The sequence below is a fragment of the Homo sapiens genome, chromosome 4, assembly GCF_000001405.40.
Source record: "Homo sapiens chromosome 4, GRCh38.p14 Primary Assembly".
Classification (NCBI taxonomy): Eukaryota; Metazoa; Chordata; class Mammalia; order Primates; family Hominidae; genus Homo; species Homo sapiens.
The window spans coordinates 139,881,913-139,906,045 of record NC_000004.12 but is presented as its reverse complement, the minus strand read 5'-3'; the positions used below and the strand labels follow the sequence as shown (position 1 = coordinate 139,906,045).

General features: G+C 42.0%; 1 protein-coding gene across 3 annotated transcripts in view, besides 1 other annotated feature; it reads left to right on the top strand.

Annotated features, from left to right (window-relative positions):
- The window catches only part of MAML3 (mastermind like transcriptional coactivator 3), a 437,432-nt gene that overhangs the window by 248,139 nt on the left and 165,160 nt on the right, over positions 1–24,133 (top strand). For 2 of the 3 annotated variants that reach the window (XM_047415929.1, NM_018717.5), the window contains exon 2: positions 15,079–16,689. In XM_047415929.1, coding sequence (XP_047271885.1) covers positions 15,079–16,689 — 1,611 coding nt within the window. Of the gene's footprint in view, positions 1–15,078; positions 16,690–17,557; positions 18,062–24,133 lie in introns of those variants that run through there. The other variant, XM_047415930.1, reaches the window with a different exon arrangement.
- Positions 17,860–17,999: an enhancer, noted in NCBI's record as "active region_21931". NCBI's record gives its function as "activates an Ori minimal core promoter by ATAC-STARR-seq in GM12878 lymphoblastoid cells {active_cell/tissue: GM12878}" and the evidence as "EXISTENCE:reporter gene assay evidence [ECO:0000049][PMID:35858748]".

Here is a 24,133-nt window from a genome sequence, read left to right as displayed (position 1 = left end):
CAAGACCAAGTCTGAGCTGTATTGATATGTACGTTAAGGATGGCATTGTCTGTTTGCTTAACCAGCCATGCAAGAATGATATTGGATCATGTAATGGGCTGAGTTGTGTCCTCTCAGATTCATTTGCTGAAGTCCTACTCCCCAGTTTCTCAAAATGTGACAGTATTTGGAGATAGGGTCATTTTAAGTTAAAATGAGGGCATTAGGGTAGGCCCTAACTGAAGATGACTATTATCTATATAAGAAGAGGAAATTTGGACCACAGGAAGATGCCAGGAATGAGTGCTGACAGAGGGAAGACTGTTCAAGGACACAGTGAGAAACTGGCTGCCTGTAAGCCAAGAAGAGAGGCACAGGAGAAACCAACCCTGCAGATACCTTGATCTTGGACTTCCAGCCTCCAGAACTGTAAGAAAATTAATGTATGTTGTTTGAGCCACCCAGTCTGTGGTATTTTGTTATGGCAGCCCTAGAAAACTAATACAGATCACTTCGAATATTTTACCTTTTGTAACCAGCTATAACTGATTTAACTGATTTTTTTTTTTTTTTTTGAGACAGAGTCTTGCTCTGCCGCCCGGGCTGGAGTGCAATGGCATGATCTCGGCTCACAGCAAGCTCTGCCTCCCGGGTTCATGCCATTCTTCTGCTTCAGCCTCCTGAGTAGCTGGGACTACAGATGCCCACCACCACACCCAGCTAATTTTTTTGTATTTTTAGTAGAGACAGGTTTCACCGTGTTAGCCAGGATGGTCTCGATCTCCTGACCTCATGATCCACCCACTTCAGCCTCCCAAAGTGCTGGGATTATAGGCGTGAGCCACTGCGCCCAGCCCTATAACTGATCTTTATCATTACAAAATCAGAAGTTAGCACTAGAAGTGACCATTTTTCCTCCAGTGTCTCCTGAAACCTTCTGGATAAAGTCCAAGCTTCTTACCATGGTACACAGGTCTATACAGCTCTTTCTTCTGCAAGCTTGTTTCTCCACACTTCTGCCCTACACTCTGGCTCAAGCCAGATACAACCACAGTCAGGTGCTACATAATGACATTTCAGTCAACGACAGGCCACATATATGATGGTGGTTCCACAAGATTGTAACGCCACATTTTTCATGTTTTTACTGTACCTTTTCTGTGTTTAGATATGGTTAGATACACAACCAATTACCATTGTGTTACAGTTGCCTATAGTATTCAGTACAGTAACATGCTGTACAGGTTTGTAGCCTAGCAGCAATAGACCCCAGGTGTGTAATAGGATATTAGGCTTGTGTGAATATGATGTTCACACAATGATGAAATCACTTAACACATTTCTTAGAATGAATCTTTGTCATTAAGCAAGTTTTCACTTAAAACCATGCTTCCTTCTCCTCTGACCCAAGGTGGTGCTCTCTCTGCCTGGGCTGTCTTCACCTCACTATGAATGCTTAAGTTCTCGGGTTGTGTGTCAGCCCCAGCAGGAAGCCTTACTTCATCTGGACTGAGTGGCATGTGGTGCTTTGTGCTCCCACAGCGTGGTCGCCTATGCCTACTGCAAACGACACTGTCTTTGCCCATCTGCATTTCTTTCCTCTCCATTCTGAAGGAAAGAGATTGGCTTTTGTTCAGTAGCGTGTCCCTACTTGCTGATACAGAACCCAGCACCCAGTAGATGTTCAGTTAGTTAAATCTAAGCATGAGCAAATTTGTGCAAAATATTCCTTTAAAATATCAATTGAGAGCCAAACCCATCTAAGACACTGAGAGGACAGAGACATGTTCGAACCAAATTATCAGTTTCATTAGTTTGCTAGAGTTGCCAGTACCACACACTGGGTGGCTTCAACAAGAGCAATTTATTCCCTCATAAGGAGGCTAGAAGTCCAAAGTCAAGGTGATGGGATGGTTTCTTCTGAGGCCTTGCAATGGTCTGAATGTTAGTCCTCCAGAATTCATGTGTTGAAACATAATCTCTGCTGTGGTAGTAAGAGGATGGGGCCTTTAGGGAAGTGATGAAGTCATGATGACATCACCCCCATGAATGGATTATTGCCTCCCAAAGGGCTGGAAGGAACTAGCTTAGGCCTTTCCCTTTGCTCTTCTGTGTTTTCACCATGGGAGGACACAGTGTTCCCTTTTGCCTTTCTGTCCCTTCTGCCATGTGAGGATACCTAGATGGTGCCGTCTAATGAGTAATGGCCGTTCACCAACACTGACATTGTGAGTGCCTTGATCTTGGACTTTCCAGCCTCTGGAACTGTGAACAAATACATTTATGTATAAATTACCCAGTCTCAGGTATTTTGTTATAGCAGCACAAACAGACTAAGATTGGCATCTCCCCTTTGCTGGTAGATGGTTATCTTCTTATAAGAACACCAGTCATATCACATTGGCGCCCACTCTAATCACCTCATTTTAACTTAACCTCTGTAAAGACTCTGCTCTAAATGTAGTCACATTCTGAGATACTGGGAGTTAGGACTTCAACGTATGAAGTGGACACAGAATTCAGTCTCTGATCATTAGTCATGAGCACTGGCTTCATAGGTATTTACCACCTTTGTGTATCCCTAGACTGGACGTAGACTGCTACATTGCCGTCCAGAAGGTTATTAGCCGTAAAGATTCTGTAATAAGGGTACATTTTTGTCAAGAAAGGAGCATTTTGTAGTTTGTTGTTTTCAGAGGTTGGAGTAGGCTATTATATTGGGAATTCTACAGCCCCAAGAATAAAGTCCTGGAAGACTGATGTTATGAAATTACTGCAGAATTCATTGCTGAAGCTGGACACAGTGGTTTAAATCTCTAATCTCAGCACTTTGAGAGGCTTAGGTGGGAGGATCGCTTGAGCCAAGGCCTGGGTGACAGAACAAGACGCCATTTCTAAAAATAAAAATTTTTTAAAGAATTCATTGTGAACATTACTGTCTTCACTGGAAATTCCTGTTCTGAAATGGCCAGTACTTGGTTAACCCAGGAAATTCAATGGTCACATGTCCAGTTCCTACCCAGGAGATGAAAACATTGGATCGGAAGGTTTTCTTCCTGTCTTCACTGCTCATTGGACTTTCAGGACTGGAAGAGGTCTGTGGATCACGATGAAGTCTTGTTGTCTTTTAGCTTCAGATTGGACACAGAGGTTTTAGGCTGCCACGTCTTAAAGGGGCACTAAAGGGTCCACCCGGGCTCAGCCTTGGTCACTCCCTGTACATAATTGAAATCGCTGCCCACAGAAGTCAGTGAGGTTGTGCGGAAGAGGCTGTGTAAATGACTCTGACTGTTGCTATAACAACAGTACCTTGGTCTAATTTCTTTTGAAAAATGAATTTCAGCTGGTGGGATGAAGCCGAGCCGCTTTGCCCCACAGATGAAAGCTCTGCCGCCAGGCTCCAGAGCTCTGCTGTTTACGGGCTGAATGTGTGGTGTGTACCTCCGCCTGGCTGAAAATTTTCAGAGCGGCTCAAATGACTTCCATGTTTGCCTGTATGTGAGAACGTGCCTGTCTGTCTGTGGGTATCTTCTTCATCCATGGGGGATTCATCCCGGAGAGAAAAATTCTCTCCTCCTGCCTTGGTTTCTGTTTATTAACAAAGTTACTCAAAAGACATGCAAATAATGACAGTTCCGTAATTGGTCAATGAAGGCAAGTCCCTAAGCCCCCTCAGGTTTGGAGTAAAAATCTGTTGTGAAATGGAGGATGGAGGCCTGGGAGTCAGATGCTGTCTAGAAATAAGAATTATGTCCTGTTTGCTCGCTCATTGAGACGTGTGTGTGTGTGTGCGTGTGTGTGTGCGTGTGTGTGCGTGTGCGTGCGCGCCTGCGTGTGTGTCCAGGGGAAGGAGAGAAGGAGAGAATGAGAGAAACTGGAAATTCTCTTCCAGGAGGGTAGCTCTTAGCTGCCTGGGAGTACTGCTTTATGCAAACTGCATCTCACAAGAAAGAGCAGTGTCTGGCCTCTTTGAGGGAAACACGAGGCTTTTTATCGAGTAAGAGATCTTATTTCAATACTTTTGTTTTCCAAAGGGAGATAAACATGTGATGGGATTTTATTCAAAAGCAGTCTCAGGTCTGGGCACCCTGGCTGTTCGCATCCTGCTAGGCTGGTGCACGACTTCAGTGCTGTTGAGGAAAACAGTCTTTTGGAAGGGCTGAAAACAAAAATGAGAATTCCTTATTGAAAAGAAAGGACATTTTAAGTAAACAATGAAATAAAAAGATTGTTGAATCCTCCCCAAGGGAGAGAAAAATACTCAGCCTCCCTGAAATATTGCTCCTTCCCGCCTCCCTCCTTCCAGAAAATAAACAAATCGAAACCTCACGCTTAGTTCTAACATGCCTATTCTTTGGTCTGTGTTGTTGGTGTAAGTCTCCAGCTGTGAATGATGCAGATAAGATCTGATCTTTTCATTTGCCATCCTCCTCCCTTATGGGGAGGAAAGCCTTCCCTTCTTCCTCACCAACCTCCTTTACCGGCATTTCTTTACAGCTCTAAATAAAATCCCATTAGGAATTTCAGATTGTAAGGCAAGGTCATGTATACAAGCATGTTTGAATAGAAAATGTATTCATGACTTCTAGTGGGAGATTATCAGGAGATATTCCTAAGGATATTGTTTCTTGTCCTTAAAAATAAATGTAATGTTATATGTGTGTGTATTTATGTATATGAAACAACAGAGCAGTACAGGGTTCAGATTGTGGAATGCTGATGGCAACTACCAGTCTCAGTGGAGCTTTTTCCTACAGAAAGCTACTGAGTGAAGGAAGCTACCGCTGGGATGCACACATTTGCTCTCTTCTGAAGTTTTCAGGGCTGCAGCCATCATCACTTCTCAAACACATGCTAAATTTGCAGAGTGACATCTTTCCTTGTAGAGGAAGCACAAGGCTTTTCTGTGAATCAGCCAGATCTGACTCAAAGACATGAACACATCCCCTTTAGAGCGTCATGACACAGGTGTCTAAAACACTTTCCCAGAATTTCTAAGCAGGTTTGCTGCAGTTTGATTGGGACAGAAGTCATCAGATGCAAAATAGCAGAGTAGGTGAGAGCATAGATTTGAGAGGCAGGCATAACTGAGTAGGGCTGTGCTGTGTGCCCTAGGACAAACTACCTGTCCTCTCTGAACCCATTCCTGTCCTTTAAGTTATTGTGAGGGTTAATCGAGGTAAGATATGTAAAGCACTTAGCTCAATGCCTGGCTGGTTAGCTCTCAGTCAATTAGAATATTGTATGACAATAATATATTGAAACATTTAGTAAGCAGTGAGTCAACTTCTGTGATAAAAACTTAGAAGTTTAGAGCATTCTACTGAAAACTACGTGAGATTTGAAAATCATATGGCCTTAGCATTTGCAAAGATAACAGTCTTGCTTTTAATGAGTAGTTGATAATTTTGTTAACACCAGTTTAAACTGCACGTATAGAGTTTGTGAAAAACTTTATAACTTCGGATACAGAGACTACACAGGATTCCTGTGACTTGTGATGAAAATATAATTTATTCATTCCACTGGGAGAAAGCCAGGAGCCTGTAAAAACATTTATGTATTTGGAAATTTGGAGATTTGAGGGGATCTTGGAACTTAGAGTTTCTAAATGTGGAGGACTTCAGCTGCCACTGCTCCTGATGTTTTACGATCCATTCCCAATATGTTGTTGTGCATTCAGTTGGTACTTATTACATGTTTAAGCATAATTAAAGGATAAAAACATACCTAAAGATTCAGCCACACCCCCAAAAAAGATTTAAAATATTTTTAAAGAGTCATTAAATCAGGATGTTGCTTTAGCACTTACAGCTGGAATTGGATGGGTGCTCATGTTCCAAACATTGAAAAGAGGCACCATCAGCCTTATGTACTTCCAAGACTTTTTGGGAATAGAGTTTTAAATGTGAACCATAGCAGAAAGAAAAAAGATCATGGTCATTTCTAAAAATAACCTCAAAGTACCTTAAAATGTTTTGAGTGGTTCTGTCCCCTGGGCTGGGGGCTCCGCGGTGCCCCCGTAGTCCCTTGGGACTCTGCAGCTATTATTTCAGATGCCCACTAAGAGGGTGAGGCCCCTTTAAAGAGGATCCTTTTCTTCCTGGAGGATTTCAGAATGGAGATTTTTAACTGCTTACGGCTGACACCCCCTCCAGAGATCCAGCATTTCCCACTGAACAGGTACAGGGAAGCCGCATTCTGGGATGGTCGAAAGCAGAGGTTTTAAACACTTGGCTCTTATGGCAATATTATATGTGATATATACAGATTATATACATAATTTTAAAATTCAAATTCATTTACTCATAGAGAGTAAAGTTGTTTTCTGTCTAAGTAATGTTAGGAGTCTATAAGATTACCAAGGGAGGCTTCGGGAGTTGTAATAAGATTTTTCTTTTTCTTTTCCTGTTAGTCTGCCCTGCACATAGATCTCTCTAAAACAAATGTATCCAACTTTTTTCAACATATGTGTGGCATGTGGTCACTTTTTGGCATAGACTTTGCTCTGGGGAGTGAGTTGAGCCTTTGGCACCTGGCGCAGAGCCCGACACGCAGACACAGAGCACCCCTCAGTTCACTGAATGAAAGTGAAGGGAAATATATAATGTGGAGGGGGAAATGGTCAGGGATATTACTGTGCTCAGAGAAACCTAAAATGTTTTTAAAAATACACATTTTTATGAAAAATATTCTAGAAATCCAGCAAGCTTCTGCAGAATTCAGAATCCTCTAAGGTTTCAAAAAGCCCCATCTAGAGCACTGTTTCTTAGTTCTGTTTATGAGAGCCCCCAGAGTATCACCAATCAACTCAGGAACATTTTGTAGTGACATTGGATTTGTATGTGTATGCATACTTAAAAAAATCACACCACCAACCTCACAGTGTCAGAATCCAACAGAATTATTAATCTAGATCAGAATTTCTAAAACCTGGGGAATCCTAGGCCAACAGCCCCGGAAGAATCAGGTTTTTATTCAGTTTCTTTAGATACCTGTGCCCCCACCTTGTGTCCCAATCTGGGCTACTTAATTAGAAACTATGAAGGTGGGATCAAGAAATCTGCATTTTTAACAGGTTCTCAGGTCACTAGTTACATTAAAGTTGGAAAATTACTAAAGAAAATCAAACCTCTAAATAACGCTCAAGATCCTTTCTAAGGGCACTTAAATCTAGAAGACAGTTCTGGAAATGTTTTGCGCACTCTTCCTATTCTACTCATTAAAATATCTAGCACATGAGTATTCTGGGTCATTCATTACATAAGCAGGTCAAATTCATCCATGTGTTCATAGGCTTATTACCTGCTGGTAGAATGGAAAGAGAATAAGCATGTGATAATTGATTCCAGTGAATCATCTTCTAGTTTGACCAGAACAGATCAAAATGACCAAAATGTTCTCTTTGAGCCTCTAAACTAGTTATAGCATCTGCAAGCTAAGACTCTCTTATCTTCAAGCCTTGGGAAAGACTTGTGTCTCTACCAGCTGGTGAAGGAAGCTCACTCACACTTTTGGTTGAAGAGGCTGCTATAGTGGGTGAGAACCACTTGAAGCCTTTGTATGGAAATTTAAAATTCAAGTCTGAAAATAAGCAGCGTTTGGGGTTTACATTCATGTGAAAACATGTGACCATGGTAATGTCGCTTAAAGTCTCTGGATTTCAGTTTCAGTTTTCTTTTCCACAAATCACTTCGTATGTTCTCTAGTGGTTCTCATCAGGGATTCCCTGGACCCTTAGAGTCCTCAAAAATATTAAGGAGATAGTCCATTTTCAGTATTTTAAACTAACCAACAGAAATTATACGTTTATTCTGAGAACACTATGCAGTCCAACATTTTCAAGAGCCTGCTTTGGGGATCAATTACACTAACTCATTGTGGTTATTTGAGAGCTCTTTTTAGCATTCATTCATTCATCCATGAAGGAAAATAGTTATAGTGTGATATGAATTAGAATGTCATGGAGGGTCTCTTAACCAACATCAGGAGTTGTAGGAAATGGCTGTCAAGAGAGACTGTGGAGTAGGTAATGTCTAAACTGAATTGTAAAGGACACATAGAATTGGTCAGGTGAAGAAGTTGGTTAAGTGTAAAATATGCAAAGGCTCAGAAAGAGAGAAAACAAATGTGGTATGTCCTGGGAACTGCAAATAATTAAGCATAGCTGAAAGTTTGGAGTTGAGTGGGGTTGCGGGGTAAGTCGGGGAAGATGAGAGGTAATGGCTAAGCCTGGAGAGTTTAGCTGGGATGAGGATCCAGTCAGAAGGCCTGTGTGCCAGACCTGAATGATGCTGAAGATGGTGGACAGCTTTAGAAAAGCTTAAAGTGAAGAACGGGCATGATCAGATTCACAATGTATGGAGAAAACCACAGCCACGATGCAGAGAATGGGTTGGAGGTGGCGAGACTGAGGCTGGTCAGGAGCTGCTACAGAAATTCATGAGAGACATATTGAGACTCTGAATGGGGTAGTGGCATTGTGGGCGGAAGATGAGACTAAAATTCATAGAATGGATAGTTCTTGAGGTTTAATTGGGTATGGTTGGTGGGGAAATGCTGGAACCAAGGAAGATCCCCGAAAGCACAATCTGAGAAAGCATATCACAGGTGGCATCAGAACCCCATGCCTTTGATGAGGGCATGACTGTGCTTCGTCCAGTCCTGGATGAGGGTGCAGTGTGGCTTATGGAGGAGTCAGACCTGAGTTTGAATTTGAATCTGGGTTTAGCCATCTTCTGCCCAGCCCCCTGAGTTCTGTAATTTCAGACACACTGCTTAACCCACGATGCCTCTGCAAGATGATTGTAATAAAACCTATCTTTTAGAATCATTGGGAGCAGGAGAGAAGGAATATGGTGGTTTACTAGAGTTGGACATTAGAAATTGGATGTCTTCCATCTTAGAATCTTCATTATTAATAGTAGCATCACTATCTTTATTCCCAAGCTCTGTGATCCTGCCCAACTTCGTGCAAAATCAGGGACAGGACAGTAAGAGTTTATCTGACTTGCCAGCACTGCTAAAAGTCTAATGGAATAAAAGACCTCTTTGTCATGGACACTCTGGCCCATGGAACACCTCAAGAATCTGCTAGGATTGGGGGCCCCCGTGTCAGCAGAGGCCTGGTAATCTTAGCCATGCTCCTCCTTGCTGTGGGTGTCATGCACCCTCGCCCACCACACCCTCTCCAAAACACTGCCCCTTTCCCTGTAGAACCATCCAGCCAGCACATAGCCTTCCCCACAGGTTTGTGGTGAGGATAAAATATGATTCTGTGTGAAAGTTCTTTGTAATTCCAAAGGCACAGCTATTCTTATTACTACTGGTTTGGACATAATGCACAACCCTCCCACTCCCCATTCTGTCTCTCTCTGCCTCTCAGTTTCACTGTCTGTCTTTCTCTCTCTCTCTCACACACACACACCACATACCACACACACACACACACACACACACCAGTTTCACAGAAACAAGCCATCAAGCCACACTAAATGAGGGACTTGCGCTGGAGCCATTATGGAAGATGAATTGTTTCCTTCAGAGTAATTGACACATGATAGCAGCCCATATTGTCATAGGCATTGGATGAACAGCATACTTCAGCTCCTGGCACCACAGCTTCACCTAATGGGAGAAAACATTTATATGTAATAATAGTAATACAAGAGCAAGGAGGCTGATGCTCAGGAAAGAGTTTCTGTGATTCTTCCACGAGGGTGCAGTCATACTAAGAGGCTTCGGGCTTTGCGAGGCAGAAGGGCCAGGGACTTCCTAAGATAAGGCTATTTGGGATGAGACTCTGCCCTGAGTCTTGAGGAGAGGAAAGTCACAGGGACATTTCCCTGTGCGCAGCCAGGCATTCCCATGTTCTCTGAGCAGGGAGCTTGTGAATCAGCCTTCTCAGCCACATAGCTGGCTCTGTGTCTCCCTCTCCGCCTCCCTCTGTCTCCCATGAGGAACATAAAGAGAATTAGACTCCCAGACCACCTTTCCATATAGCAAAGGATGATGAGGCAGACAGAAGGGATGCTAAGATTGCTCTGCTATTTTGGACATAACAAAACAAAACATAAAAATTATAGCACAGCATCTTCGATAATGTCTTTCTTATATTCCAAAATGCAGATACATGAAATATATAAATCAAGATTTGGGTTAAAGGGGCATGCAGTGGAGAACTTTAGGCCCTGGAGGAAAGGGAACACTCGGAGGCTCCAATCAGGTGGCATGCTGAAAATGTATTTGATTCGAACCTCAACGATCTAGCCTCTGCTGTTCTACAATCTAGGACATGAATGCATTAGCACTTGGACTTGAATTGCAAATTTGATTTTTGTTGTTCATATTAAAAAAGCTACATCAGATGCTTAGAAAACATTAGGGTTTTGCTGGCTAGAGAACAGAAATACCCTACCTATTTGTGTTTTGAAGATCCAGTAAGCATTCCTTCTCAGTTGCAGTTGTAACTATTTGTATCACTGAATTTTGAAAATGGTAAAGCTAAGACTTAGTGGGTGTTTACTGGTATCAGGTGTGAGGCTAAGTGCTCCCTACATTATTTCATTTAACCTCAGACTCACGGTAACTCTGTGAGCTAGATATTATTGACCCACTTTGCAGGTAAGGAAACCAAGGCTTAGGAGAGGTTAAATAAGTTTTCCAGGATTCATTTATTCAACATGTATTTATTGTCTATTCTGAGCTACTGGAAACAAAATGGAAGAACCCCTGCCTTCATGTAACTTATATTCTAATGGAAGGTATCATAGCCAACATTTCTTAAGAACCAGACAATATTGATATGTATTAGCTCCTAGGTAGGTGATGTTGGATTTGAACTCAAGCTTTCTAACTCCAGAGCCAGTGCTCCTGTTTCTCTAATTCTCACTGTACTGCCTCACCCAGCTGCTCACTCAGCCGTAAGAGGTGAAACTTGGGTTTCCAGCCAGAACTGCCTGACTGTATGGTCTTGGCCACCACCATTTTACAGAGAAACAAATGGACCAGCTTCGTTTCCTTCTCTGTCCTGCTCCATTCATTGCATGACCTGGAACAGAGTCATGGACTTGGACTTTCTAAAATCGAGTCAGTTCATTGTTAAGACAAATGCTTATGTTTTGAAGGTTAACATCACTCCAGGAGGTGCCAAAAGCCCTAACCTTCATTTCCTTTAAGTCCTAAAGCTGTGATATTTGATCTTGCTGCTATGTTTGGAGCTATGTTCAAGTATCTTCCATACTTCTGATCAAAACCATGGTATCTTGCCTTGTCCAATAAATAATATCATTTTCTAGCAGTTTCTGTGTAATACAATGAGTTGAGCCAGTATTTTTTTTTCCGTCAAATTCTAACATGTTCCCGTTAGGGCCTTGTGTTCAGCAGTTCGAGGGTCTCTATCAAATGACTATGGGCTGTGTTTGATGTTGTAAAAATATAAGATTTAGGAACAAGGGTTAGACTGGACTTTTACTCAAGGGCCCTTTCTACTCTGTTTACTTTTCTTTCTTTCTTTCTTTCTTTCTTTCTTTCTTTCTTTCTTTCTTTCTTTCTTTTTTAAGATGGAGTCTTGCTCTGTCAGCAGGCTAGAGTGCAGTGGCACGATCTCAGCTCACTGTAGCCCCTGCCTCCCAGGTTCAAGTGATTCTCCTGCCTCAGTCTCCTGAGTAGCTGGGACTATACAGGTGTGTGCCACCACCCCAGCAAAATTTTGTATTTTTAGTAGAGACGGGGTTTCACCGTGTTGGCCAGGATGGTCTCAATCTCTTGACCTCGCGATCTGCCCACCTCAGCCTCCCAAAGTGCTGGGATTACAGGCGTGAGCTACTGTGCCTGGCCATACTTTTCAAATATAATCATCTACTTATGAAAAAGCACCTAGCAGTAAAATGACACTTTGTGAACTTTACCGCATCTGCACATTAGTTTTATTATCCATGGTGCTCCTCTAGAGGCCTGGCAGTTTCACATGTGAGTGTTCAGGTGTCAGGGGCAGAGGGAATCCTCCCCCTCTCTTGCATTGGTTCTGTAATACACGGCACCTTGCCAAGAATAAGAGAGTACCCGAGTGGAAAGACCACTAAGCCTTTTCTCTCCTACCCTGTCATTCTGTCTTCTGCCTGCAACTATGTAAAGTCACTGAAACCCTTCTAACCCCTCCCAGTTGCCCCTCTGTCACTCAGCAAGCATCTCCCCAGTAGCTATTCTATGCCAAGCTCTTTCACCACGGCCACATGCACTGGCCCTTTCTGACAGAAAGGAAAGCAGCACACAGATGAGTTAGGTTTATAATTGATAAATCCATAGAGTTAGCAAGACTTCATAACTGGACTTTTAAAATGAGTCCAGTTAAGTGGATAACACTCTTTAGGGTAAGAGATCTATCACTCCCAAAACCAGGAATGTAGAGGCTGGAATCAGGCATTCCTTATGGTCAATGGGGCTGCCTCCTGCTCAGATTCAAACTCTTCTCTTAGCCCTGTGAATTAGACAATAGAATGATTCATTCCATTTGCAATTGTTTATTAACCCCTGCCATGAACCTGAGGACTGGGTGCAGGCCTGTGGTGCTTACACAGTAAGCACGTCAGCCACGGTTCCTACCTTCTTGGAACTCACCAAACAGACACTTAAGCAGCTGCCCCAAAGTGTGAAAAAGCTATGGTAGTGAAGTACAGACTGCTTGGAAAGACCTATTTCAGGACATCCAACCTAGTATAGTTGGTCAAGGAAGGCACCTAACATATAACTAGGGTGGAGAAGAGTATAAGAGAAGATTTCCTAGAGTAAGTGAAATCTAAGATCTAACCTGAAAAATAAGCAGCTATTACCCAGGGGAAGAGGAGAGGGAGCAGGAGGACGTTCCAAGAAAACAAAACAACATGGACAATGCCCTAGAGGCAGAAGGAAGCTTAGCACCGTAAAGGTGAAAGAATTCTAGGCTCTGAAGAGAAACCGGAGTATCAGCACCTTTAAGGAACTATAAGTCTCAAGAGAGTTTATGGAAAATGTAGGGTAAGGGAGAAGAGGGGAGGAGATGCTGAATAGAGAGGCAAAAAGGTGAGCCTGGAAAGATGAGCAGGAGCCAGGTGGTTTTTGGCAAGAGTCAGTTTGGACTTTTTTTTTTTTTTTTTTTTGAGACGGAGTCTCGCTCTATCACCCAGGCTGGAGTGCAGTGGCACGATCTCGGCTCACTGCAAGCTCCACCTCCCGGGTTCATGCCATTCTCCTGCCTCAGCCTCTCAAGTAGCTGGGACTAAAGGCGCCCGCCACCACGCCCGGCTAATTTTTTGAATTTTTTTTTTAAGCACAGATGGGGTTTCACCGTGTTTGCCAGGGTGGTCTCAATCTCCTGACCGCGTGAGCCACCGCTCCCGGCCCCGATTTGGACTTTAACCTAAAGACAGTGGAAATCATTGCAGAGTTATACACAAGAAAGGCAGTCTATTTTTTTTTTTTTTTTTTGGAAAATGTGGCATTATAAGGAGTAGATTCAGGGAACACAAAACAGTAAATAAAAAAATAGACTAAAGAGCAAATGAATGGAGGCAAAGCGTAAAAGACGAGTTAGAAGATGGCTGCAACAATCTAGTAAGAGATAATGGTATCCTGGCCAAGGACAGTAACAGTAAGGGAGGAAGGAGATGAGGGGGCATATTAGTTATATTTTGGAGGTGGAATCCATAGGACTTGGTGATTGCTGACGTGGGAGGTTTCAAGAAAAATGCTCAAGTATCTGACTTGAATAAATGGATAGATACTGAGATGGGGAACAGTGATGAGGATCTGGTTTGGGTAACAAAGGATAATAAGCTCAGTGTTGAGACATGTTGAGTTTTAGATGTCCATGAAATATCCAGCAGGAGAACATTGGATTTAGTGGAGCTGAGCACTAATCCAATGAGCCTGCTTCAACTATCTTCTCTAGGCTGACGACCCCAAAACAATGTACCCAGCCCAGTTTTGTGAGCCTGGGAAGATGAGCATCTTTTGGGGCCGTCAGCCTAGAGAAGATAGTTGAAGCTGTTGTAATCGATGAAGTTGTCTAAGAAAGAATGTAGAGTGAGCAGAAGGAGAAAAAAAGCTTAAGACAAAACATTGAAGAATCCCATCGTTTAGGAAAAAGAAAGACTACATAAGAGATTGAGAAAGAGCTGGTAAAGGGAGAAAGGAGGAAATTGAGAAGAGTGTGATGTTGTGGAAACCGGTGGAAACGTGCTTTTAGAAAAGAGTGAGCCTATCAAAAGGTTCTGAAAGGTGAGGTCACATAAGAACTTAAAGTAAGTTTGGGATTGCATTAAACATTAACTTTCAATTCTATGCTATTTAGTACATGTGTTAAATTCCATATTCTTAGAAGTTTTTATTTTAGCATTTTTTTTAAATGTTGATTTAATTCCTTGATGTTCTCATTTAAGTTGTGGCAAGAATTTGGGATAGGTATTAACATCGTTTTCAAGTATGTTACATTTTGGTCCAAGTCTCATGTCTAGCATTCATGGTGGCTCACACTTGTAATCCCAGCACTTAGGAAGGCTGAGGCAGGCTGATCACTTGAGGCCAGGAGTTCCAGATCAGCCTAGCCAACAGGGTGAAACCCCATCTCTACAAAAAATACAAAAATTAGCCAGGCATGGTGACGCGTGCCTGTATCCTAGCTACTCTGGAGGCTGAGGCAGCAGAATCGCTTGAACCTGGGAGGTGAAGGTCTCAGTGAACCAAGATAGCACCACTGCACTCCAGCCTGGGCAACAGAGCAAGACTCCATCTCAAAAACAAAAAAAGAAAGAAAATAATAACAGATTATTCTTCCTTGCTGAGAGTATTGCCCTTATTAACTATCTCTTTTCTTTTGTTTCCCACCCTTCAATCTTTTGTTTGTTTTCTATCTCTTAGCCCTGTGAGCTCTGCTTTTAGATAAAACCTTTTCCCATACAATTTGAATTGCAGCGTTGCCTGATTTTGAAATTATAAGTATGACTTCTTTCCTGTGTGTCGTAAACCACTTAAAAGTTAGTTCATCGCAATGCACATCTCAATCCTTAAAGAGTAAAATATGACTTGGAGGTTTAGTCATCCTCTTTCCTGTTTCTTTTCCAGCTACAAGAGACTGTGAAAAGGAAGTTGGAAGGAGCTCGATCACCACTTAATGGAGACCAGCAGAATGGTGCTTGTGATGGGAATTTTTCTCCGACTAGCAAACGAATTCGAAAGGACATTTCTGCGGGGATGGAAGCCATCAACAATTTGCCCAGTAACATGCCACTGCCTTCAGCTTCTCCTCTTCACCAACTTGACCTGAAACCTTCTTTGCCCTTGCAGAACAGTGGAACTCACACTCCTGGGCTTCTAGAAGATCTAAGTAAGAATGGTAGGCTCCCTGAGATTAAACTTCCTGTCAACGGTTGCAGTGACCTGGAGGATAGCTTCACCATCTTGCAGAGCAAAGACCTCAAACAAGAACCTCTCGATGACCCTACTTGCATAGACACATCAGAAACATCTCTTTCAAATCAGAACAAGCTGTTCTCAGACATTAATCTGAATGATCAGGAGTGGCAAGAATTAATAGATGAATTGGCCAACACGGTTCCTGAGGATGACATACAGGACCTGTTCAACGAAGACTTTGAAGAGAAGAAGGAGCCAGAATTCTCGCAGCCAGCAACTGAGACCCCTCTCTCCCAGGAGAGTGCGAGCGTGAAGAGCGACCCCTCTCACTCTCCCTTCGCACATGTCTCCATGGGATCTCCCCAGGCGAGGCCTTCTTCTTCTGGTCCTCCCTTTTCTACTGTCTCCACGGCCACTAGTTTACCTTCTGTTGCCAGCACTCCCGCAGCTCCAAACCCTGCAAGCTCACCAGCAAACTGTGCTGTCCAGTCCCCTCAAACTCCAAACCAAGCCCACACTCCAGGCCAAGCTCCACCTCGGCCTGGAAATGGTTATCTCCTGAATCCGGCAGCAGTGACAGTGGCCGGTTCAGCGTCAGGGCCTGTGGCTGTGCCCAGCTCTGACATGTCTCCAGCAGAACAGCTCAAACAGATGGCTGCACAGCAGCAACAAAGGGCCAAACTCATGCAGCAGAAACAGCAACAGCAACAGCAGCAGCAGCAGCAGCAGCAGCAGCAGCAGCAGCAGCAGCAGCAGCAGCAGCAGCAACAGCACTCAAATCAGACTTCAAATTGGTCTCCCTTAGGACCTCCCTCTAGTCCATATGGAGCAGCTTTTACTGCAGAAAAACCAAATAGCCCAATGATGTACCCCCAAGCCTTTAACAACCAAAACCCTATAGTGCCTCCAATGGCAAACAACCTGCAGAAGACAACAATGAATAACTACCTCCCTCAGAATCACATGAATATGATCAATCAGCAGCCAAATAACTTGGGTACAAACTCCTTAAACAAACAGCACAATATTCTGACTTATGGCAACACTAAACCCCTGACCCACTTCAATGCAGACCTGAGTCAGAGGATGACACCACCAGTGGCCAACCCCAACAAAAACCCCTTGATGCCGTATATCCAGCAGCAGCAACAGCAGCAGCAACAGCAACAGCAGCAGCAGCAGCAGCAGCAGCCGCCACCTCCACAGCTCCAGGCCCCCAGGGCACACCTGAGCGAAGACCAGAAACGCCTGCTTCTCATGAAGCAGAAAGGAGTGATGAATCAGCCCATGGCTTACGCTGCACTTCCATCCCACGGTCAGGTAAGTGTGAAAGTGACACACTCTTCGAGCAGTTCTTGTGGTGCATTTCAGACTGTCGATGTGTGATGTTCTACAAGCTTCCACTGTAGTGGGGTCTAATTGCCTGCAGAAAACCTCTTTACACATCCTCAGGTAGTGGCCAGGTTTGGAGTGTTCTTTTTCCATTTCTCCTAAGAAATGGAAAAGGGTGGCATGATAAACTTTCGTGTATTTCAGTGTCTAGGAATCAAACTTCTTTTATTCCCAACTGCAGATAAGAATTACATAAAATTCTCACTCTGAGGGAGGGAGGCTGCAGAGGTCACTCCACCAAACACGGCACTACCTCTGTAGCTTCTCTCCCAGCTTGCATGATCCCAGGCTCTGGGTGGTGGGAAGCAGGGGACATTCAGGGCTGTCTACAACAGTTTTATAAGGCCCTGAGCAGCCTTCAGCTGTCCTACTGAATTATGAATAATGGGAAATTTGGCTTGTTGATATTCAAATATAGGAGAGCTTTCTGGATTTTCAAAGTGAAGTGGAGGGTAGATTTTTGTAGGACCTTATAATGTTTAAACACTTGCTGCTAGACTAGCAACAGTTAGAAGCTGGTTCAGTCTTCTTACTTGGGAGTGCAATGAAACCTCTCTGATACAATCAGCTCTATTTCAGGAAAATGTGATGGTGAATATATCTTAGTGCTGTATTAAAGTCTCTACTTTCCCACTGTCCTCCTTCATGGGAGGTTGGGCTCTTGGTATGCATGGTAAAAAATGAGCAGCAACCAGTCGGGAAGTGAATAGTCATTGACAAGCTTTTCAGTCTCTTCATCCTGACCAGTGGCAAACAGCCAAAGCTCCTTTAATATAACATTTGTTCTACCCTGAAGGAGAGAGTGGGGAAATGCCCATTAAAGCGACTCCCCCTGCCCTACATGGATGAATTCAAGAGAGATCATCTTACTGCCAGTTGCTGTGCTGTGCCTCAATTCTTCCAGGATGCAGACATGGTCATTTTACTTGGAGAATTTGCAGAAAAGTCTTTGCTTTAGAGGCCCTCATGTCTAAACAGGTTCTAACTAGTGCTTGGGTAGGTGTCCACAGTTGAGTACTTTAGAAGCACTGGGAAATAACGCAGGCAGATCTTGCCTCACTTGGTTATTTGCATCTTGTAGCTCCTGGAGTGCCCCACCCCACCCCCGAAACCCCAAGCTTGATGGAGCTGCAGGGCTGGAGGTGGTGCTGGCCTGCAGAGACAGGCCTGAGCTCTGTGGCTTCATTCTTGTCCTCAGCCTTACAACCCCCAAACCTCACAGTGGCTTCTTGTCTGCACATGCCAGCCGGCTCTAAAGATTCCGTCTGGATAAATAAAAGTATAACTTGGTTTACATTGACTGCAATCAGTAGCTACTAGAAAAATATCATTGAAATGTGAACTTCTATATATTATCTTAGTTTCATTAAGAATATATACCATTGGGGAGATAACAGCATTTTATATACTCCAGATTAAGTTCTGAAGCAGGCAGAAATATAGGCAATATACATGAATGTTTGTAGTAGCCCAGGCGTGTCAGAAGGTTTATGAGATCACAAGCTGTCAGAATGGTCTGTTGTTAATACAAATTGTGCTTCTACATTCGCTGTTCTTACACTAGCTACAGTAGAGTATTTCCTTCAAGCCAGACCAAAGATGAATAATTAATTCCAGTTCACAGGCTCTGCAGACATGTGAGTGCAATGATGCACCTATCCTCACCCCCACTAAATGTCTTTCAAAATGTGCCAACTTGGGACAAGTTCCTGTCTTTGCGGGAACATGAGTTTTAAGGGTACTTCTTTGAGGTCCTTATGCCTGCCTAACTATGTGTCACTGAAGCTGGTAGCTGCAGAGGTCATGTTTTGAAAGAGCTCAGTCAGCTGAAGAAGCAAAGTGATGTTTTTCTGGATTAAATCTGTGTGCTCCTCCTCTCTTCTCTCGTCTCACGAAGTATTTTCAGTGTGGACAGAATGTTCTTTTGTGAGTCCTCATTAGAATAATCACTTCTTAACCTCACAAAATCTCATCAGGTAAAAGCGTGCTTTTTAATGAAATATTAACTCACCACTGTTTGAAACGAGCTTCAAAATACATATATAAACATGTGAATGTCTTTCTGCAAACATATCATTTATTTCTTGTTTTTATCTGATTGTGAAGCAGTATTTACATAGTTCTCAGAATAGTTCATTACATTATATGCGGGTACATTCCACAAATACGAGCACGAATTACAGGTACGATATAAAATATAATTATACATAGGTTTAGTTCAGTTTCGTTTTCTGCTATTGCTAGTGAAAACTCACTTTATTCTTTGTTGATCACAATGACCATGATCAACATTTCGTTTTAATGAATGACTTCAGCAGCAAAGCCTTTTAGGCACGTTTATTTCAAGAAAATTGTCTTTTACAGATGTTTACTTATTTGGAACATTTGTATAAAATGCCATCTCAGAAATGAATAGGAATGCGCTTACTTCCTGTATATTTCAAAAAACAGGGAAACAAAAATAGAAACAAAAGATATTTCAAAATTTTGAATGTGTTTTATCTAGTAATTGCATTTCTCAGAATTTACATATTATTCTTTTTGATCAGATGGTTGAACAAAGATTATGCTCATGGTGTTACTTATGATAGTGAAAACTTTGATCCAAAAATAAGTATTTTGGAAAAATAAATACGTACATGACATTCATGATATAAATGAATGACTAATCATATGGAAATGCTCATAATATGAATAAAATAGATCATAAAACAATTATATGTTACAATCCAAATTGTGACTTTTAATATGTGTAGAAAAATACTGAATAACTAAAATGTTATTTTAGGAATTCTAAATACTGAATTCCTAAAATGTTAGGAATGATATTTATTTCTGGCTGGAAAAATTATGAGTGATTATTGTTTTCCTCTTTATATTTAACTGAATTTTCTAAACTTTCTATCATACATGTGTATTAATTCTACCCTCTGGGAAAATACTTTTTTAAGGAAGGGAAACTCCCTACTTAAAAAAGTTTACCCTTCGTTAATTCTTTTTTTAAAAAAATTCTTAGTTGAATTGATTTGCCAGTTGGATTGAGACAATATCATTATTTGCTATTCATTGACATATATTAGTTGTGAATCCCTGCTTTAGTGAGTAGTCCTAAAACCTGCCTCCCACACTCAGTTTCTTTTCCATTCTGTCTCCTAATCCCTTTACCATGTTCTCATTCCTAGAAAATTTTAGCTAAATTAGTGACAGTGAAAGTAGCAATAACATTTTTTACCATTAAAAGTTTTTGAATCTTCTCTGAGATATGTTCTTATATTATTTCTTTGTTCTTATATTATTTCTTTATTCCCTTTACTTTTTTTCTCTTTCTTTTTTTTTTTTTTTTTTTTTTTTTGAGACGGAGTCTTGCCCTGTCGCCCAGGCTGGAGTGCAGTGGCGCGATCTCTGCTCACTGCAAACTCCACCTCCCGGGTTCACGCCATTCTCCTGCCTCAGCCTCCCGAGTAGCTGGGACTACAGGCGCCTGCCGGCACGCCTGGCTAATTTTTTTTTTTTTTTTGTATGTTTAGTAGAGACAGGGTTTCACCGTGTTAGCCAGGATGGTCTCGATCTCCTGACCTCGTGATCCGCCCGCCTCAGCCTCCCAAATTACTGGGATTACAGGTGTGAGCCACGGCGCCCGGCCTACTTTTTTTTTTGTTTTAAAACCTTCTGGAACTTCTATTCATCATGGACTAAACCTCCCAGATTGTCTCTAATTTTCTTCTTACCAGCTTCACTTTTTAAACATTAATACATAATATTTACACATATTTATGGGGTACATGTGATATTTTGTTACAGGCATAGAATATGTAATGATCAAGTCAGGGTATTTAGGGCATCCATCACTGTATTTATTCTTTCTTTCTTTCTTTTTTTGAGAAAGAGTCTCACTTTGTTGCCCAGACTGGAGTGTAGTGGCACTATCATAGCTCACTGCAGCTTTGAATTCCTGGACTCAAGCCATCTTCCCACCTCATACCCCAAGCAGCTGGGACTACAGGCATGTGCCACCATACCTGGCTAATTTTTTTTTTTTAATTTTCAGTAGAGACAAGGTCTCACTATGTTGCCCAGTCTAGTGTCCAACCACTGAACTGAAGCGATCTTCCTGCCTTGGCTTCCCATAGTGCTGGGATTACAGGCGTGAGCCACCGCACCCGGCCTGAGTATTTATTATTTCTATGTGATGGGAACGTTTCAAGTCCTCACTTGTAACTATTTGAAATATACACTACATGTTCTCCAATTTTTAAAATATGTGTTTTTGTTATGAAATAGAACTTACTATGGTCACATCTGGTTTTTTTCCGTCCTAATCCTGTTGTTTCTCAAGGGCAGGATCTCTCTCTCTTCTCTCTTACACACACACTTTAGCTGATTTTTGCATAGTGCCTAGCACTGTGTCTTAAACATAAGGATATTCAATAAATCATTTGATGGTGATCATCAAAGTTTGGGTCAAAAATATGATTACAGTTGATTATCAGCTCCAATGGAGAAAGCATTAGCACAAATAACACAGAGCCGCTTTTGAGATCAAATAGAAAAGCTGAAAAGGCAAGTCTAGAATGAATCCTTTGATAGGAGGTGATTATCTTGAACCAGCGGAACAACAGTGAGATTGCTGGGAAGGCAACCACAATCCCTGTGTCTGACAAACAAAAAACAATGGAGCAACTATGAAAGAAGTAAACCAAAAGCAGAGACCACTTGCTGGTCAAGGACGGTCACAGGCCAGCCCAGAGCCCAAGAATAACTCCTGTGGGGAAGAGCAGAAAGGGAATCATTTCCAAAATGTGGTGTTAATTTTTCATACTTGCAGTCTTAGGACTAGATACATCATAGGTGACTCTGCTACTTTATTCTTTACACGTATGTTTTCTACATGTGGCTGTGTGCATCATAATGAGTATATGTGCTCATATTTTACAGAATGTTTTTCACTTTCAATTTTATTTTACCAGAATTTGTGGAATGCCCTGTGTGGTATATTATTATAAGCTTTTTAGTCATAAAATCTCCAGAGAAAGAACAGAGCTGCAAAATTCATAGCCATCATGGAAATCTCTTGGAAGATACATTTTCCTTAACTTTAAGCAGCCAGGCGCCGTGGCTCACGCCTGTAATCCCAGCACTTTAGGAGGCCGAGTCGGGTGGATCACCTGAGGTCAGGAGTTCGAGAGCAGCCTGACCAACATGGTGAAACCCCATCTCTACTAAAAATACAAAAAAATTATATGGGAGTGGTGGCAGGTGCCTGTAATCCCAGCTAATTGGGAGTCTGAGGCAGGAGAATCACTTGAACCTGGGAGGCAGGGGTTTCAGTGACTGCCCATTGCACTCCAGCCTGGGCAACAAGAGCAAAACTCTCAAAAAAAAAAAAAAAAAAAAAGACAAGCAATTATTTAAAAAAAAAAAAACTTTAAGAACCTGGAACCCCTTTTTTCAGTTTCCTTGATGTATATATTATTTACCTTATCCAAGTAATACACATGCACAGCTCAGAAAGTCAAATACTGCTAGGGGGATTTTGATGAGAAACAGTAGTCTCCTGCCTCACCCACGCCACTCTTAATTTCTGCTTGCCAAAGGCAGCCACTTCCATGTTGTCTTCTCATTTATCTCCATAAATTGCATTTCTCAAGTTTTCAGTTACTCAATTCTACAGAAGATGGGGGGTGCAGCTACTTATACTACCTCCTGACAAACATACACAACCCCCCCACACACAGTCTCTCTCTTTCTCTTCCCCATCCTCTCAGTGTAACTAGCTATATTACAAATCATGATTTTAAAAAGTAGCCCATGTTTAAAAGACTAATTTTTGCATAGTGCCTCACAGTTTAGCCATGTAGTATACTATGATTTTGTTTCCTTACTTGTATAGCTTTTTGTTTTCCTTGGAATTTATGATTGCCCTTTTGGGCAGGGTGAGGGGCATGTATTGTCTCTGTACCTACTTTTGATCCATCCTTAAACTTTTCTGACCATGTAAAACATTCAATATGATCAAGCACATCAGATAATATAGTTTTTCTCATGTTTCCTTTTCTTTTCCCTCTCTCCCTCCCTCCGTCTTTCCTTCTCTCCTGAAGTTCTCTGCCCTGTTGGTTCTGTCCACTTCTGTCCTGCAGTTTTCTTGGTCTGCTGCTTAACGGAAGTCTTGCAATCACCCTTCACCATCATTCTTGGAACGTTTCACCACCGTTCTGTGTTGCGTCGTCTGTTTTCTCGATCCCACCTCTTTCTTGAATTATTCCCTCAAATTGGTGGAAGTCCTCATAGTTTCTTACAAAAGGGTAAATGGGAGATTGTTCCTATGGAACCAATTTTTGAGACTGTCTTTATCCTTACATTTGATTAATAGTTTACCTGATGTAGAATTATAGGTTTTGTTGTTGTTGTTGTTGTTTGTTTATTTGTTTGTGTTTTTAAGACAGAGTCTCGCTCCATCGCCCAGGCTGGAGTGCAGTGGCTCGATCTTGGCTCACTGCCACCTCTGCCTCCCAGATTCAAGTGATTCTCCTGCCTCAGGCTCCTGAGTAGCTGGGATTACAGGTGCGTGCCACCACACCCAGCTAATTTTTGTATTTTTAGTAGAGATAGAATTTCACCATATTGGCCAGGATGGTCTCAAACTCCTGACCTCAGATGATCCACCTGCCTCGGCCTCCCAAAGTGCTGGGATTACAGACGTGAGCCACTGTGCCCAGCCTATAGAGTTACAGTTTAGAAAACACATTTAATTAGAATTTTAAAGGCATTTCTTCATGGTCCTCTGACTTCCCTACTATTAAGTCCAGGGCCATTTGGATTCCCCACCCTATGTGTGTAACCTGTTTTTTTTTCACTCTGATAACTTTTCTAATATTCTTTACCCTGAAATTTCATGATGATACACCTTATTGCAGCTCTTTTTCATTCACTGTATCTAGTACTATGCACTTTTTAAAAAAAAAATCTGGAATTGTGTGTCCTTAAGATCTTGGATATGTTCTTAGATTATTTCTTTGGTAATTTCTCTCTTCTTTTTTCTCCTTTTTTAACTTTCTGAAACTTCTGTTTATTATGTATTAAACCTTCTGGATTGTACTCTGATTTTCATATCTTTTCTATTTTTCATGTCTTTGTCCTTTTGCTCTATGCTCTGAGATTTCCTTCATCTTCCAACCCAATTATTAAATATTTCATTTTATCACATTTTTAATTTCCATAGGCTCTTTCTATACTCTAATTTATCCTTTTCAATCCAAGGCTATTAATTATCATTTTAAAATGAAGCTTTCCAGGCCTGGAGCAGTGGCTCTCACACCTGTAATCCCAGCACTTTGGGAGGCTGAGGCGGGCGGATCACTTGAGTTGAGACCAT